The following is an 18902-nucleotide window of genomic DNA, read 5'->3' as shown; positions in this document are numbered from 1 at the left end:
AGGAGCGTCTCTGCCTGGCCGCCCATCGTCTGGGACGTGAGGAGCCCCTCTGCCTGGCTGCCCAGTCTGGAAAGTGAGGAGCGTCTCTGCCCGGCCGCCATCCCATCTAGGAAGTGAGGAGCGCCTCTTCCCGGCAGCCATCCCATCTGGGAAGTGAGGAGCGTCTCTGCCCGGCCGCCCATCGTCTGAGATGTGGGGAGCGCCTCTGCCCCGCCGCCCCGTCTGGGATGTGAGGAGCGCCTCTGCCCGGCCGCGACCCCGTCTGGGAGGTGAGGAGCGTCTCTGCCCAGCTGCCCCGTCTGAGAAGTGAGGAGACCCTCCGCCCAGCATCCGCCCCATCTGAGAAGTGAGGAGTCCCTCTGCCCGGCAGCCACCCCGTCTGGGAAGTGAGGAGCATCTCCGCCCGGCAGCCGCCCCGTCCGGGAGGGAGGTGGGGGGGTCAGCCCCCCGCCCAGCAGCCGCCCCATCCGGGAGGGAGGTGGGGGGGTCAGCCCCCCACCCGGCCAGCTGCCCCGTCCGGGAGGTGAGGGGCGCCTCTGCCCAGCCGCCCCTACTGGGAAGTGAGGAGCCCCTCTGCCTGGCCAGCCGCCCCATCCGGGAGGGAGGTGGGGGGGTCAGCCCCCCGCCCGGCCAGCCGCCCCGTCCGGGAAGGAGGTGGGGGGGTCAGCCCCACGTCCGGGAGGGAGGTGGGGGGGTCAGCCCCCCGCCCGGCCAGCTGCCCCGTCTGGGAGGGAGGTGGGGTCAGCTCCCCGCCCAGCCAGCCGCCCCGTCCGGGAGGTGAGGGGCGCCTCTGCCCAGCCGCCCCTACTGGGAAGTGAGGAGCCCCTCTGCCAGGCCAGCCACCCCGTCCGGGAGGGAGGTGGGGGGCTCAGCCCCCCGCCCGGCCAGCCGACCCGTCCGGGAGGGAGGTGGGGGGATCAGCACCCCGCCCGGCCAGCCGCCCCGTCCGGGAGGGAGGTGGGGGGGTTAGCCCCCCGCCCGGCCAGACGCCCCGTCCGGGAGGTGAGGGGCGCCTCTGCCCAGCCGCCCCTACTGGGAAGTGAGGAGCCCCTCTGCCTGGCCAGCCACCCCGTCCAGGAGGGAGGTGGGGGTGGTCAGCCCCCTGCCCGGCAGCCGCCCCATCCGGGAGGGAGGTGGGGGGGTCAGCCCCCCGCCCGGCCAGCCGCCCCGTCCGGGAGGTGAGGGGCGCCTCTGCCCAGCCGCCCCTACTGGGAAGTGAGGAGCCCCTCTGCCTGGCCAGCCGCCCCATCCGGGAGGGAGGTGGGGGGGTCAGCCCCACGTCCGGGAGGGAGGTGGGGGGGGTCAGCCCCCCGCCCGGCCAGCCGCCCCGTCTGGGAGGGAGGTGGGGTCAGCTCCCCGCCCAGCCAGCTGCCCCGTCCGGGAGGTGAGGGGCGCCTCTGCCCAGCCGCCCCTACTGGGAAGTGAGGAGCCCCTCTGCCAGGCCAGCCACCCCGTCCGGGAGGGAGGTGGGGGGCTCAGCCCCCCGCCCGGCCAGCCGACCCGTCCGGGAGGGAGGTGGGGGGATCAGCACCCCGCCCGGCCAGCCGCCCCCTCCGGGAGGGAGGTGGGGGGGTCAGCCCCCCGCCCGGCCAGACGCCCCGTCCGGGAGGGAGGTGGCAGGGTCAGCCCCCCGCCCGGCCAGCCGCCCCATCCGGGAGGGAGGTGGGGGGGTCAGCCCCACGTCCGGGAGGGAGGTGGGGGGGTCAGCCCCCCGCCCGGCCAGCTGCCCCGTCCGGGAGGTGAGGGGCGCCTCTGCCCGGCCACCCCTACTAGGAAGTGAGGAGCCCCTCTGCCCAGCCACCACCTCGTCTGGGAGGTGTACCCAACAGCTCATTGAGAACGGGCCGGGATGACAATGGCGGTTTTGTGGAATAGAAAGGGGGAAAAGGTGGGGAAAAGATTGAGAAATCGGATGGTTGCCGTGTCTGTGTAGAAAGAAGTAGACATGGGAGACTTTTCATTTTGTTCTGTACTAAGATAAATTCTTCTGCCTTGGGATCCTGTTGATCGGTGACCTTACCCCCAACCCTGTGCTCTCTGAAACATGTGCTGTGTCCACTCAGGGTTAAATGGATTAAGGGCGGTGCAAGATGTGCTTTGTTAAACAGATGCTTGAAAGGCAGCATGCTCGTTAAGAATCATCACCACTCCCTAATCTCAAGTACCCAGGGACACAAACACTGCGGAAGGCCGCAGGGTCCTCTGCCTAGGAAAACCAGAGACCTTTGTTCACTTGTTTATCTGCCAACCTTCCCTCCACTATTGTCCTATGACCCTGCCAAATCCCCCTCTGCGAGAAACACCCAAGAATGATCAATAAAAAAAATAAAAATTAAAATAAAAAAAAATATATATATATATAATAAGGAAACAGCAATTCTAGAAGGGAAAATATAATTACTGAAAAAAAATTCATTAGAGATGTTCAATAGCAGACTTGAACAGGTAGAAGAAAGAATCAGCAAACTCGAAGCCAAGTCATCTTAAATCATAGACTTTGAGGAATAGAAATGAAAAAAGGAACAAAAAATAGTGAACAGAGCCTAAGGGACTTGTGGGACACTGCCATGCTGACTAATATATGCAGAGTTTAGCAGGCAGAAGAACCAGCAAATTGAAGATAGGCCAATTACGATTATGCAATCTGAAGAGCAGGAAGAAAAAAAAATAAAGGGAAATGATCAGAGGCTATGACACCTCTGTACAGCATCAAGTGGACTGACAGATGCATAATGGGAGTTCCCAAAGTAGAGGAGAGATAGAAAGAGAGAGTAAAAATATAGGGTAACAGGTGAAACCTTGCCAAAGTTGATAAAAATCTGTGAATCTACCAAGCAGAATAAACTCAAAGACATCCAAACCAAGAAACATTATAACCAAACTGTTGAAATAGAAGCAGAGAGAACTTGGACAGCAGCAAGAAACAAATAATGCATCATGTACAAGGGATCCTCATTGAGATTAACAGCCAATTTCATACCAGAAAACACTGAGGAAAGTCAGAGTGGTATGACATGTTTAAAGTGCTACAAAAATAAAGCTGTCAACCAAAAGTTCTATATCTAGAAAACTTATTCTTCAAAAATGAAAATATGCAGTTTTGCAATATGAAAGGAGTTCTGGAGATTGGTTTGCAAAACAGTGTGAGTGTTCTTAGCACTACTGAACACTACCACTACAAATGGTTAAGATGGTAAATTTTATGTTATGTGCATTTTATCACAATTAATAAATTAAAATAAATGAAGGAGAAATTGAGATGTTTCCAGTTAATTAACAACTAACTGACAGATTCCATTGCCAGTAGATTTTTCCTATAAGAAATACTAATGTGAGTCATTCAGATTAAAATGAAAGGGCACTAGACAACAGCTCAGAGACACATAAAGAGATATATGCAAAGAACCTCAGTAAAGGTGTTAAGACAACTCAATGTGTTAAAGTATACACTCTTCATCTAATGGAGCTGGGCACCTGGATGCCCACATTCTAAAGGATGAAGTTGAGGGGCTGGAAGTGGTGACTCCACCTGCAATCTCAGCATTTTGAGGGGCTGAGACAGGAGAATTGCTTGGACCCAGGAGTTCAAGGTTACCATGAGCTCTGATTGCACCACTGCACTCTAGCCTGGGTGACACAGACACTGTCTCTGCAAAAGAAAAAAAACAAAGAAGTTGAAACCCTACCTCACAGCATATGTATAAATCAACACAAAATGGATCAGAGACCTACATGTAAGGGCTAAATTATAAAACTCATAGAAGAAAATAGAGAGGGCTCTATTTTAATAATTTTTTCCTGTTTGTTTATCCCTGAACAAATACTTCACTTTTCTAATCACTATGGCTTTCAAATATCTGTTGATATCTGATAGTTTAAGTCCTCCAATTGTGTTCTCTTCCAATATTGTTCTGGCTATTTTAAGCTCCTCACATTTTTGTATACATTTTAGAAGGAGCATGTCAATTCCCACAAAAAAAACTGTTGGGAGTTTTATTACAATTGCATTGACTCCATGGATCACTTTGTGGATAAACGGTATCTTAGCAATATTGTCTTCTTCATATATATGAAATAACTATCCACTTAATTTGTCTCAGCAATGTTTTGTAATTCTGAATGATGAGATTTTGTATAACTTTTATATTTATTTCTACAATTTATGTTTCTTTGTGGTATTGTACATAGAGCTATTTAAAGAATGTCAGTTCTTCTCACTGTTTATTACTCACGTATAGAAATGTTACTTTTTGCTTTATACTGGCCTTGCCAAATTCACTTATTTTTAATAGTCTGTTCATAGAGCTTCTTAAATTTTCTTCATACACGATAATGTTTTCCTTGAAGAAGACAGTCATATATCTTATGTAATCTATTTTTGCTGTTGGACACACAGTACAATGTTAAATAAAAGTGATGATAGTGGACATCCTTCTCTTGTCCCCACCTCAGAGGAGTGTTTAATATTTCTTCATTAATTATGACTTTAGATTTAGGTATTTCTTTGTATTTCTTTGTTGTAAATAACTGTATTCTGTTAGGGAAGTTCCCTTTTATGTCTAGTTTATTTAGTTTTTATTATGAATGCCTACTGAACTTTATCAAATGGTTTTCCTGCATCTATTGATATAACCACATGTTGTCCTACTTTTCTCTATTCTTGGGGTAGATTATTCTGACATTTTGAAGTTAAATCTACCATGTATTTCTCTTATAAATCCCATTTGGTCATTATGTGTTATCCATTTCATATATTATTTGGTTCTATTTACTAATATTTTAATTGGAATTTTGGTGGCTATGTTCATCAGATCATTTTGATGATGAGTTTATTTTTCTTGTAATATAATTGTCATGTTTAGGTCCTTGTCTGACTTATGTTGCCTCATAAAATTAGTTGGAAGGTGTTTACTCTTTATTATCTAAAAAATATAAGACAGTGTATTAATCTGTTATCATACTGCTAATAAAGACATACTCAAGACTGGGCAATTTAAAAGGAAAGAGGTTTAATTGACTCAGAGTTCAGCATGACTGGGGAGGCCTCAGGAAACTTATAATCATGGCAGAAGAGGAAGCAAACACATCCTTCCTCACATGGCAGCAACAAGGAGAAGTGCCAAACCGAAGCAGAAAAAGCCCCTTATAAAACCATGAAGTATTGTGAGAACACACTATCATGAGAACAGCATGAGGGGAACCACCCCCATGATTAAATTGTCTCCCATCGAGTCCCTCCAACAACGCGTGGGGATTATGATAACTACAATTCAAGATGAGATTTGGGTGGGCAAACAGACAAACCATAGCACACAGTCTGCCTTTCATGTCTGTGAGTTCCACATCTGTGAATTCAACAACCTTAGGATTGAAAATGTTATGTTGTTGCTGATGTATACTCTGTAGTTAGGAGTACCTACAGTGGTTATGTCTGTACTGAAGATGTATAGACATTTTTCTTGTCATTATTTCCTAAGCAATACAGTGTAACAACTATTTACAAATCATTTACATTGCATTAGGAATTATAAGTAATCTAGAGATGATTTAAAGTATATGGGAGGATGTGCATAGCTAATAGGCAAATACTAGGCTATTTTATATATGGGACCTGAGCATCCATGGATTTTGGTATCCACAGGTGCCCTAGAACCCATCCCAAAAGGTACCAGAGGAAGACTGTATAAGGCTGACATGCCTTTTAAAAAGTTTTTGAAAGAATTGACAGGTGAAGAAGTCTGGGCATGGAGTTTCTCTGGTGGGAAGGAATGTATTTAGAACTCAATTTCTTAATGGATATAGGATTATTTATATTTTCTACTTAGTTTTCTGTTGGCTTTGTTCAACCGTCTTTTTCAAGAACTCATGTCACTATACCTAAATTTTAAAAGCTCTTTCCATGAAGTTGTGTCTAACTTTCTCTTATTTTTGTTTTAATAAAATCTACAGTTTTATAATGTCCCTTCTCATAGTGTTCATTTGTGTTTTCTCTCTTCTTATGATTAATCTTTCTGGGAATTTTGAAATAGTTTGCCCATCTTTTCCTCTATTTTCCTTAACATATTAATCATAAATATTTTGAAGAATGTCCTTGTTTGCTGACTTCAATATTCAGATCATCTTTGAGTTGGCTTCTGTTGATTATTTCTTCTTTAGTTGCTGCATTCTCTCTGCTGCTTGGCATGGCACATATTCTACATGATGGATTTTAGAGGCTCTGGGTTTTGTTATCTTCCTCCAAAGACTGGTAATAGTTTGACAGTTAGGTAATTATCAAAGAATCACCTTTAGTAAAAATCAGACCCACTTTGATTCTGCTTCCTCTTGATTTTAGCCTTTGCTAGGGTGAGTCTATTTCAGTGTGGTTCTTACTCCAAGGTCACGGTCCTCACTTACACGGCTTCCCCATCCTGATGTCTCAACACAGGTTTTGCAGGGCTGAAATTCCAACATCTCCTCACACTATGGAGCCTGTGACATTTCTACTTAGCATGCAATCTCCAAGAAGCTGTTCTCCAGTGGGCTTCTTAGAGTGTCATCTGGAGCATATGCAGCTCAGGAGTGCAGATTTTGGGGGTTTCTTGTCTGTAACTCCCTCCCTCAGCACCCTACCCCTAAATCCCAGTCAATGTGCCAAGCCTGAACTCTGATCTCTGTTTCCTTTGCCGATGAGACTGATTTTCTCTGCTTGGGTTCCATTTCTCTTCATTGTATTTTGGCAAATGCTTCTGGAAAGAAAGCTGATAAGGATGTGAATCTCCCTTTCAGGAACTTCCATTCTCCAAAAGGTGATAGTCCTGTGCTGGTTGCTGTTTTGTGGCTGCACAACTGCATTGTATGTTTTTTGTGACTTTTATACTTGTTTACTGTGGGAGGATGAGTTTAAAATGAGCTATTCTCTGACGGTTTGAACCCGAAGACCTCTAAGCCTCCAATGGTCGTTTGCATTTCAAATTCTGCATGGGGTAATTTGACACCTCACAGGAAAAGTTAATATGTTTTTACCTTGGTGCCTAGTTGATACCTCAATTTCAGTGTTAATCTTACACACAAAATACAAACACACACACACACACCCCACTGTGTTATAGAGTCATGCATTGTATAATGATGTTTGGGTCAATGATGAATTGCATATATGACTGTCGTCCCATGAGAGTTTAATGGACCTGAAAAATTCCTATCACCTAGTGACATTGAAGCCATCATAACCTCATAGTATGATGCATTAATCATGTGTTTGTGGTGATGCTGCTGTCAACAAACCTACTGCACTGCCAGTCCTATAAAAAGTCTAGCATATACAGCTATGCACAGTACATAATACTTCATAATGATAATAAATGACTATGCTATGTTTTATGTATTTACTATACTTTTTATTGTTATTTTAGAGTGTGCTCCTTCTATATATATAAAAAAATTAAAACAGCCTCAGCCAGGTCCTTTAGGAGGTATTCCAGAAGAAGGCATTGTTATCATAGGAGATGCAGCTCCATGCGTGTTATTACACCTGAAAATCTTCCAGTGGGACAAGATGTGAAGGCTGAAGATGGTTGATATTGTTGGTCTTGACCCTGTGTCAGCCTATGCTAATGTATGTCTTTATTTTTACCAAAAAAGATTAAAAGGTAAAGATAATTAAATAGGAATAAGCTTCTAGAATGGGAATATAAAGAAAAATATTTTTGTAGAGCTGTATAATGTGTTGACGTTTTAAGCTAAGTGCTATTACAAAAGAGTAGAAAAGTTTAAAAAGTTTATAAAGGACTTCATGTCTAAAACACCAAGCAATGGCAACAAAAGCCAAAATTGACAAATGGGATCTAATTAAACTAAAGAGCTTCTGCACAACAAAAGAAACTACCACCAGAGTGAACAGGCAACCTACAAAATGGGAGAAAATTTTCGCAACCTACTCATCTGACAAAGGGCTAATATCCAGAATGTACAATGAACTCAAACAAATTTACAAGAAAAAAACAAACAACCCCATAAAAAAGTGGGCGAAGGACATGAACAGACACTTCTCAAAAGAAGACATTTATGCAGCCAAAAAACACATGAGAAAATGCTCACCATCACTGGCCATCAGAGAAATGCAAATCAAAACCCAATGAGATACCATCTCACACCAGTTAGAATGGCAATCATTAAAAAGTCAGGAAACAACAGGTGCTGGAGAGGATGTGGAGAAATAGGAACACTTTTACACTGTTGGTGGGACTGTAAACTAGTTCAACCATTGTGGAAGTCAGTGTGGCGATTCCTCAGGGGTCTAGAACTAGAAATACCATTTGACCCAGCCATCCCATTACTGGGTATATACCCAAAGGACTATAAATCATGCTGCTGTAAAGACACATGCACACGTATGTTTATTGCGGCACTATTCACAATAGTAAAGACTTGGAACCAACCCAAATGTCCAACAATGATAGACTGGATTAAGAAAATGTGGCACATATACACCATGGAATACTATGCAACCATAAAAAAGGATGAGTTCATGTCCTTTGTAGGGACACGGATGAAATTGGAAATCATCATTCTTAGTAAACTATCGCAAGGACAAAACACCAAACACCGCATGTTCTCACTCATAAGTGGGAATTGAACAATGAGAACACATGGACACAGGAAGGGGAACATCACACTCTGGGGACTGTTGTGGGGTGGCAGGAAAGGGGAGGGATAGCATTAGGAGATATACCTAATGCTAAATGACGAGTTAATGGGTGCAGCACACCAGCATGGCACATGTATACATATGTAACTAACCTGCACAATGTGCATATGTACCCTAAAACTTAAAGTATAATAATAAAACAAAAAAGTTCAAAAGGTTACAGAAAGCTATGGTAACTAATTATTAATTAGTTATTAATTGTTAATAAATAAATAATAAAATTATTAGTTAATTATTAATAAGTTAATTTATTATTAAAGAAAGACAATGTTAAAATCAATTTAGTGTAGCCTAAGTTTATAAAGTCTAAGTAGTGTACAGTAATGCCCTAGCCTTCACATTCACTCACCACTCACTCACTCACCCAGGGCACTTCTAGTCCTGCAAGCTCCATTCATGGTAAGTGTCCTAGACAGATACGCCATTTTAAAGATCTTTTTGTTAATCACATTTTTACTGTACCTTTTCTCTGTTTACACATGCTTAGATCCACAAATACTTACCATTGTGTTAGAATTGGCTGCAATGTTCCATACGGTAACATGCTATATAATTTGTAGCCTAGAAGCAATGGGCTTATCACGTAGCCTAAGTGTGAAGTAGGTTATACCATCTAGGTTCATGTAAGGACACTCTATGATGTCCACACATGACAAAATCACCTAAGGACTCATTTCTCAGAAGCTATCTCACCATTGAGCGAAGAATGACTGTATATGTATGTAAGTCCTTTGAAGTTTAAACATTTTCAATTTGATACATTTGTGTCTCATTTAAGAAATATTTTCCATTCCAGCAGATGTGAAAAAAAAAAAAGGCTGGCACAGTGCCTCATGCCTGTAATACCAGCACTTTGGGAGGCTGAGGTGGGTGGATCGTTTGAGCCTAGAAGTTTGAGACCAGCCTGGGTAACATGGCAAAACCCCATCTCTACTAAAAATATAAAAAGGAGCCAGGCATTGTCTCACATGCCTGTTGTCTCAGCTACTCAGGGGGCTGAGGCAAGAGGATCACCTGAATCTTGGGAGGTCAAGGCTGCAGTGAGCCATGATCGGGCCACTGTAATTTAGCCTGAGTGACAGAATGAGACCCTGGCTGGAAAAAAAAATAAAATAAAAAAGAAAGATTTTCCTACCCAAATAATTTAGGTTATCCTCCTAATAACTTTGGCAGTAATTTTACTTTTTCATATTTGTCTTTACTGCTCATATAATTTTTTGTTTATATCAAGGTATAGAGATATAATTTAATCATGGCATGTTTAGTAGACTATCGATGCTGGGAAAGGGCTTAGGAGATGATGATGAATCAAAACATGGGATAGAGGCTGGGTACGTGGCTCAGGCCTGTAATCCCAGCATTCTGGGGAGCCAAGGTGGGTGAATTGTTTGAACCCAGGAGTTTGAGACCAGCCTCGGCAACATAGTGATACCTCATCTCTACAAAAAAATTTTTTAAAAAATTAGTTGGGCATGGTGGCATGTTCCTGTAGTTTCAGCTACTCATGAGGCTGAGGCTGGAGGATTGCTTCAGACAGGGAGGTCGAGGCTGCAGTGAGCAATGATTGTGCCACTGCACTGCAGCCTGTGACGTTTGTTTGTTTGAGACAGGGTCTCACTGTGTCTGAAAAAACCAAACAAACAAAAATTAAATAAAAAACCCACAGGATAGAAATCTCTATGGATAATAATACATGAATGAAAAGAAAGAATGACAGAGATCAAATTAATGAAGTCATTTCTGTGTGGAAGACTTCCTGATGATTTTGATGCTTTTTCCCCAAGGAATTTTTCTTTTTTTTTCCAGGAAATATGTATGATATGAATTATGGTAAATGGCCCTTTCCTTTGACTTTTGAATCTCTGGTTTTCCTTCATCTCCGCTGACATCAGGACATTCCTGAGCATCACAAAGGTCCTGCAATCATAGCCATTTAGAACTTTGAAAAACGCAGTCACTCTCTTCCAAACCAGTATTTGTTAAAGCTGCAGAGAGAGTATTTTTTGGTTCTTGGGAGACAGAGAGGATGAAGGGGGTACTCATGCACAGAACATCTATTCCAACACTCCCATCCTCATCAGCCTTTAGTTCCTTCCTATACATTATACCAAAAAATTTCTCACATCTAATCCTGTTTAGTCAGGCCACGACTAAGTCAAATTTAAAAGCAACTCAACATTTAGATCCACTCTGAGTGTGGAAAATCTCACATTGTTTTCCACTACTCTCACACCACAACAACTATCAACACAGAAGACTTCTCTGACCAAATGTAGGGAATTTCTCCAACAAACAAGCAATCAGTTCTGTGATGGACACCAGCTGGGTGTCCTCTAACTGAATTCTGCCACTCTTTCCCTGGAGATAGCATCGCATCCCATGGGTTGAGAGCTCAGTCCCCATGACTGTCCCCCTCCCACTCCTGATGCCAGTCTCAAGCCTCCCACTCCTGATGCCAGTCTCAAGCCATTTTGCCCGTGTTTCTAACTAACTTGCTTTAAATCAGTGTTCCCATAACCCGTTTCTCAGGTTTGATTAATTTGCTAGAATGGCTCACAGAACTCAGGAAAACACTTACATATATTTACCAGTTTATTTAAAAAGATATTTTAAAAGACACAAATAAAGAGCCCCATGAACAGACACATAGGGCAAGGTCAGAAGGGTTTCCAGTGCAGGAGCTTCTGTCCCATGGGGTTGGGATGCGCCACCCTCTCTGGCACATGGCTGAGTTCTTGTTCACCCTCCTGTTAGCTTCCCTGTGTTCAGCTATCCAGAAGCTCTCCAAACCCTGCCCTTTTGGGTTTTGATGGAAGTCATATTTCTTAGGCATGATTCATTAAATCATTGGCCATCAGCTTAACCTTCAGCCTCTCTCCCCTCCCTGCCAATGAAATGATCCTATTTCTAGAAAAATCTGAAGACTCCATCAAAGAACTATTAGATATGATAAGTAAATTCAGTAGAGTTGTGGGATGCAAAATCAACATACAAAAATCAGTATAATGTCTATACATTATTAATGAAGTAGCTGAGAAAGAAATCAAAAAAGCAATTCCATTTACGATAACTAGAAAAAAATGCCTAGGAATAAGTTTATGCAAGGAAGTCAAAGATCTCTTAAAAATAAATCTATACAACACTGATGAAAGAAAGAAGAGGACACAAACAAATGGAAAGATATTCCATGCTCATGAATCAGAAGAATTAATATTAGTAAAATGACCATAGTTCCCAAAGCAATCTAAAGATTCAAGGGAATTCCAACAAAAATACCAAGGTTATTTTTCCACAGAATTAGAAAAAATAATTCTAATATTTCTATGGACCCAAAACATTTTTAAAAAGTCCAAATAGCCAAAGAAATCCTGAGCAAAAAGAACAAAGCTAGGGCCATCACACTACTTGACTTTAAAATACATTACAAGGCTATAGTATCCAAAACAGAATGGTATTGATATAAAAACAGACATGCCAATCAATGGAACATAATAGAGAATGCAGAAATAAATCCATATATTTACAGCCAACTGACTTTTAACAAAGGTGCCAAGAACACACATTTGGGAAAAGGACACCCTCTTCAGTAAAAGGGCTGGGAAAATGGATATCCCGTATGCAGAAGAATGAAATTAGATTCTTATCTCTCACCCTATTAAAAATCAACTCAAGTTGACTTAAATAAAATGAAAGACCTGAAACTATAAAACAACTGGAAGAAAACAGGGGAAACATTCTAGGCCAGTGGTCCGGGCAAAGGTTTTATGGCTAAGACTTCAAAAATATAGAAAACACAAATAAAACCAGACAAATAGGACTATAATAACTAAAAAAGCTTCTGCATAGCAAATAAAACAATTGACAGAGTGAAGAGACAATCTGCTGAACAGGAGAAAACATTTTCAAACAATTTATCTGACAAGGGACTAATATCCAGAATACTATAAGAAACTCAAACAACTCAAGAATTAAAAAACCAAACAATCTTATTAAAAAGTGGGCAAAGGGCATGAATAAATATTTTTCAGAAGAAGAATATAAATGGCCAACAGATACATAAAAAAATGTTCAACATCACTAATCATTAGGGAAATGCAAATCAAAACCACAATGAGATGTCATCTTACCCCAGATAGAATAGCCACAACTGAAAAGACAAAAATAAAATAAATAAAATAAAATAAAATAACAGATGCTGGTGATGTGGAGAAAAGGGAACTCTTGTACGCTGTTGATAGGAATTTAAATTAGTACAGCCACTATAGAAGACAGTATGGAGAGTTTTAAAAAATCTAAAAATAGAACCACTATATTATCCAGCAATTCGGGGGTGGGTTTGGAAAGTGCTGGAGTTCAGGGATCAGGGTTGGCAGAGAGCAGGGCCTGGGGGTGCTTGGGTAGCTGGAGGAGAATGAAGGAGGCAGATGCCTGGGTACCAGGGTATCAAAGTGAGGGAAGTGCGGGGCTGTCCCAAGAGGGCAGGAGACTAACAGAAGAATTCTTGAGACCTGTTGGGAATAGGGAAGGGTGGAACCCTCAGGATCCAGGGCAAGGGGTCAGAATCTTGGGCCAGGCTCATCGCTGAGCTCTTTGTAACCCACCACCATCTTCAGACTCCCAGCTAAGTTGTGCACGTATCCTCCAAGAGCATCTCCTTGGCTGCCAGCAGAGGGACCTGCTCTCTGCCTGTGACCCTGTGGCCACTGGGCCTGGCAAGGTAGCTCCTGCTGTCAAAGACAATGAAGAGGCAGCCATCCAGCAAGCCGAGTGCTGTGACCCCAGGCTTCCCGGGGCTGGACTCTGCTAGGACAGTAAGGCCCGAGCACAGAAAGTGGGGCCCTCAACCTACCAGGGCTGGGCCCCTTAGCCCCTGTCCTTCACTCTCTTTTCTTCAGGATCCTAGGAACTCCCTCCTGCTTTACACACACCTACACACACACACACACACACACACACACACACACACCCCTTCTAAAGAAACACTTCCCACTTTTCTCTCCTCCCTGACTCCTTTCACCCTCCTCCTTTTTCCTCCTCCTCTTCCTCCCCCCCCCTTATAAAGAAAAAGGTTTAATTGACCTACAGTTCCAGTGTTTGGTATGATTCCTTCTTCTCTTATGATCCATTTCATCTCCCTTCTGCTCTCTGGAGCCTCCCTCCTTCCTGGACCGAGGCCCCAAGGTTGGAGCTCACAGACTGATTCCTGGGATGAGCAGCCTCCACCTGCAGGAGCAGTGGCAGGAACAAGGGAGGGGACAGGAGGCCAAGGTCCCATCCTGGAGGCTGGGGGACTGGGTCGTGCATTAGCAAGGGTTTGGGGTTGAGTCAGCTCCAGACCTGATCCTGCTGTTTTGGTCTGGAGGCCTCCCTCTGCCCTGAGACAAAAGTCCAGTCAATCAGTTGTGGGAGAAAACGTTCATATCAACATGGATTTTGGGAAGCTGGATGAACTCAGAGCCTGACACGAGACCGGGAGACTCTCTTCTGTGCAGAGTCCCGTCCAGGTGCGGGGAACAGGGGGAGAGCCTGGGACGTCCTGGCTGGGGAGAAAGGGGAGCGGGGTCCTCTGTCTTCAGTCCTGTGGCCACACGGGGGCGCCGCCACAGTGCTCTCGGATTCTGACTGAGCGCTTTCGGGGACCAGGCTGCGGGCTGAGTGGGGCAGACGGGGCTGATCCTGAGGTCATCCACGCCAGGATGGAGGCGTCTCCTGAGCAGCCCTGGAATCCACAGGACTCAGGCTAGATTTGCTTGTCCTGCAACGTGAGGCAATTGTGAAGTAACAAGGTCTGGCTCTAGAATTCTTATGGCGAATACGGCTGTCATAAAATCCAACCAGAATGAGAGTCCAGCGCCTGAGTTGACTGTCCTGGGCACACCCGGCTTTGACGGGGTTGCCAAAAACTTAACTTTGGCACTCACAGAAATTTCAATGATTGTGGAAAACTCCGAATAAGTGTGTACGATTTCATTTCTGATGTCTCTGGCGCTTTTGAAAGGCCAGAAAGAGCCATGCAAAGAGGCTGAAAGCCTCCTCTGGGAATTCTCAAATCCCTTTTCATAGCAGTAAATTGTACCTAGAGAGCCAAGACTGAAGGACATAGAGAGAAGGATCTGGAGACGGAGCCGTCTTTTCTGAGCAGCACGGACGGGGCTGTCAGGGCGCTTTTCCCCTCTGTGTTCAGCAGGATGGACTCTGCAGTGAGGCGCAGCCCCTGTCTCCCGGGAGCCTCAGGGCCACACATCCTCCCGATGCCCCATGTCAGGAGCATCTTTTTCCTTATCTTGTTTTTCACGACTCCTTTCCTTTTTCTGTCCTGTGGCTACTAATACAACAGACAGACAAGATCTTATAAGACCAGATAAAAGATGTCACTGATGATGGCTAAGACATGATTATGAAGGAACAGTGGAAGATACAGACAGAGCAAGAGAAAGAGACAAAACACAGAGAAAGAACAGAAATAGAAAAACACAGAAAAAGAATATCCATCCATCTATCCATGCTTCTGTCTACCTATCTACCTCCTTGCAAGGTAGGTACATCAACACTTTTTTTTTTTTGAGATGGAGTCTCGCTCTGTCACCCAGGCTGGAGTGCAGTGGCATGATCTCAGCTCACTGCAATCTCCGCCTCCTGGGTTCAAGCAATTCTCTGCCTCAGCTTCCCAAGTAGCTGGGATTACAGGCGTCTGCCACCATGCCCGGCTAATTTTTGTATTTTTAGTAGAGATGGGGTTTTACCATGTTGGTCAAGCTGGTCTCGTACTCCTGACCTCGTGATCCACCCACCTCGGCCTCCCAAAGTGCTGGGATTACAGGCATGAGCCACCGCGCCCAGCCACATCAACACTTTTAAATTCATGCTCCAATAAAATCACAAGCTTTTTTTTGCTGGCTCACACCTGCCTCCTTCATCCAGCTGACTGATGTATTTGCTGAAGTCTTGCCATGTTCTGCACTGGGTACTGAGCATTGGAGTCTAAACAGGAACAGATCCCTGTGATGCACTCACATGGGGCCCTTTACTGTCCCGTCCCTGGCTGTGAGACATCCTCATCTCCCTGAGGCTCTTCTTTCTGGTTACTGGGAGAAGTTCCCGGCCCGCCTCCCTACTGACACCTGAGAGACTCCAACATCCTGGAACATCACTATCTTCGAATCGAGCACTGATTTTCAGCATTTATCCTGTGTCCACCACTTGAGTACTAAATACCCTTTTGATGATTTTCTCATTTAGAAGCTGCTAGAGAAGGATGCGGTTGTAACTTCAGGCATGTTGTTTAAGAGAAATCTAAAAATTAGGAAAATTCATGGAAAGGGCCTTTTCTGCTTACTTTCAGAACACTTCTTGTTCATCTTCTCATTGAGTTTGATTGCTGGAAAAGTGGCTTCCATATCCCCTGACTTAATGCAAGTAGTGGAAACACCTGCTCAGTGAACAAGTACTTTGGAAAATGCCCTCAGAACTTCACACATCAGAAAAACATGTGTGTCTCCCTGCTCAACCCTGGAGTTGCCAATATGCTACATGTTAATTCCTCACTGACCTTACTCAAGCCCTCTGGAAGAGAATGGTGCTCCTAAAAATGTCCCAGTGGCATGGGACAGCAAATTCCTCTGTGCTCACTGCAAGAAAGCACACAATTCAACTTTTCAATCCCATTGAGTATCTGAAAATGAACTGTATTTTCAATGTATTCCCCTCCAGAGAGTACATTGCAGAGGAAACCTGTTCAAATCCACAAATGATTTTGAGTCAAGAAGCTAAATATGAGGTCCTTCAAGAAAAGTTAAGAGATTCCCTGACCTTAAATTTCATGTTGCACTTATAAGATGGACCTGTTAGCATCTGTCCCCACCTCTGGGTACCCGGCAGAATGTGCTGTCTTTTGGGACTCAGGGAGATAGTCACCCACACCAGGAGCACCAAATAAATCCCTAGGAGGGACTCCATGGTCCACCCAGGAGCCTCCTCAAGCAACTTCTTCCCCCAAATAACCTTGAAGTCCTAGAAATCAACTAAGAAAAAAGATATCCATGTCTTTGATTTAAAAAAAATAATGAAATGCCAACAGTCCAGCACCCAATAGGGAAGCTATGAGACTACATTTTCTGCATGTGGAGAAGACACATCTAATGGAGAAATGGGAAACTGCTTCAAAAGTGTTGGGCCACAGTGAGAGAATGTGGTTGTCACCACCACCACCCACTGCCCACTCACTCAGTAACCCCTCCCCATTTTAACAAACACACCAATGATGAGAAACACTTTGTACCTTCCTCTACTGTAATAAGCCTATTATCATGTCATCTCCTGTGGTTGATTTTTTCACTTAAGGATGACCTCTGGGCTTGTGATGGGAGAGGTTGCTGTGAAAGTCTCTGACATTCCCTGGAGATATTTTCCCCATTGTCATGGTGATTGACATTGAGCTCCCCCTTACTGATGCAAATTTCTGCAGTGGGCTTGAATTTCTCTCCAGAAAATGGGTTTTTATTTTCTATTGCATCATCAGGATGCGAATTTTTCAAACTTTTATGCTCTGCTTCCTCTTGAACACTTTGCTGCTTAGAAATTTCTTCTGGCAGATACACTAAATCATCTCTCTCAAGTTCAAAGTTCCACATATCTCTAGGGCAGGGGAAAAATGCTGCCAGTCTCATTGCTAAAGCGTAGCAAGAATCACCTTTATTCCAGCTCCCAACAAGTTTCTCATCTCCATCTGAGGCCACCTCAGCCTGGACTTCATTGTCCATATTACTATCAGCATTTTGGTCAAAACCATTCAACAAGTCTCTAGGAAGTTTCAAGCTTTCCCATATCTTCCTGTCTTCGGAGCCCTCTGAGTCTCTAGGAAGTTCCAAACTTTCCCACATGTTCATGTCTTCTTCTGAGCCCTCTAACCTGTCCCAACCTCTGCTTGTTACCCAGTTCCAAAGTCACTTCCACATTCCTGGGTATCTTTATAGTAGCACCCCACTCCTGGTACTAATTTACTGTATTAGTCCATTCTCACACTGCTATGAAGAAATACCTGAGGCTGGGTAATTTATAAACAACAGAGGTTTAATTGACTTACAGTTCCGCATTGCTGGGGAGGCCTTAGGAAACTTATAATCATGGCAGAAGGCACCTTGTCACATGGCAGCAGAAGAGAGAATTAGTGTAATCAGGGGAAATGTCAGATGCTTATAAAAGCATCAGATTTCATGAGAGTCACTCTATCATGAGAACAGCATGGGGGATCTGCCCCCATGATTCAATTAACTCCCACTACATTTCTCCCATGACACATGGGAATTATGGGAACTACAATTCAAGATGAGATTTGGGTGGGAACACAGCCAAACCATATCATTAATGCATTATGAAAGTCAAATTTATACATTCTAGATGCTTTGTGAGGCTGTCTAGAAAGCAGTTTGGAGACAATTCCTATAGGAAAAAATCAAATAATCTCTCCAAGATGATATTGCATTTAGAATTTCATGTTTGTCATTATTAAAATGGGGCCACCCAACTCAATTATCTAGAAAACTAAGTGTAGGTGAATTATGCTGGATACATTTAGCCATCACTCTTCAACAACACTATGAAATGGAAAAAACAAGGTATTAAGGCAACAACCTGCATGATGAATAAAATAGTACCTCACATCTCAATGCTAATGTTGAATGTCAATAATCTAAATGCTCCACTTAAAAGATACAGATTGGCAGAATGGGTAAAAATCCACCAATCGAGTATCTGCTGTCTTCAAGAGAATGCCTAACACATAAGGACTCACATAAACTGAAGGTAAAGGGGTGGAAATATTTCATGCAAATGGAAGCCAAAAGTGAGCAGGAGTAGCTATTGTTATATCAGACAAAACAGCCTTTAAAGCAACAACAGTTTAAAAAAAAAAAGACAAAGAGGAACACTATATAATGACAAAAGGATTAGTCTAACAGGAAAGTATCACAATCCTTAATATATATGCACCTAACACTAGGGGTTCCAAATTTATAAAACAATTATTACTGGATCTAATAAATGAGATAGGTGGCAACACAATAATAGTGGGGGACTTCAATACTTCACTGACAGCACTAGACAGGTCATCAAGAAAGTCAACAAAGACAAAATGGACTTAAACTATACCCTAGAACAAATGGACTTAACAGATATTTACAGAACATTCTACCCAACAACTGCAGAATATACATTT

The 18902-nt window shown here is 43.7% G+C and overlaps 1 long non-coding RNA gene across 1 annotated transcript; it reads right to left on the bottom strand.

The window, feature by feature from the left end:
• Positions 1–9110: 9110 nt before the first annotated feature.
• On the bottom strand, positions 9111–14417 carry LINC01149 (long intergenic non-protein coding RNA 1149). The gene is made up of 2 exons (NR_144465.1): positions 13773–14417; positions 9111–10606 (listed from the first exon to the last, which is right to left on the bottom strand). It is a non-coding gene; the product is annotated as a long intergenic non-protein coding RNA 1149 (long non-coding RNA).
• Positions 14418–18902: the final 4485 nt, after the last annotated feature.

Source organism: Homo sapiens, chromosome 6 (assembly GCF_000001405.40).
Source record: "Homo sapiens chromosome 6, GRCh38.p14 Primary Assembly".
NCBI lineage: Eukaryota > Metazoa > Chordata > Mammalia > Primates > Hominidae > Homo > Homo sapiens.
The sequence above is the reverse complement of the archived record's forward strand: the minus strand, read 5'-3'. Positions and strand labels throughout refer to the sequence as shown.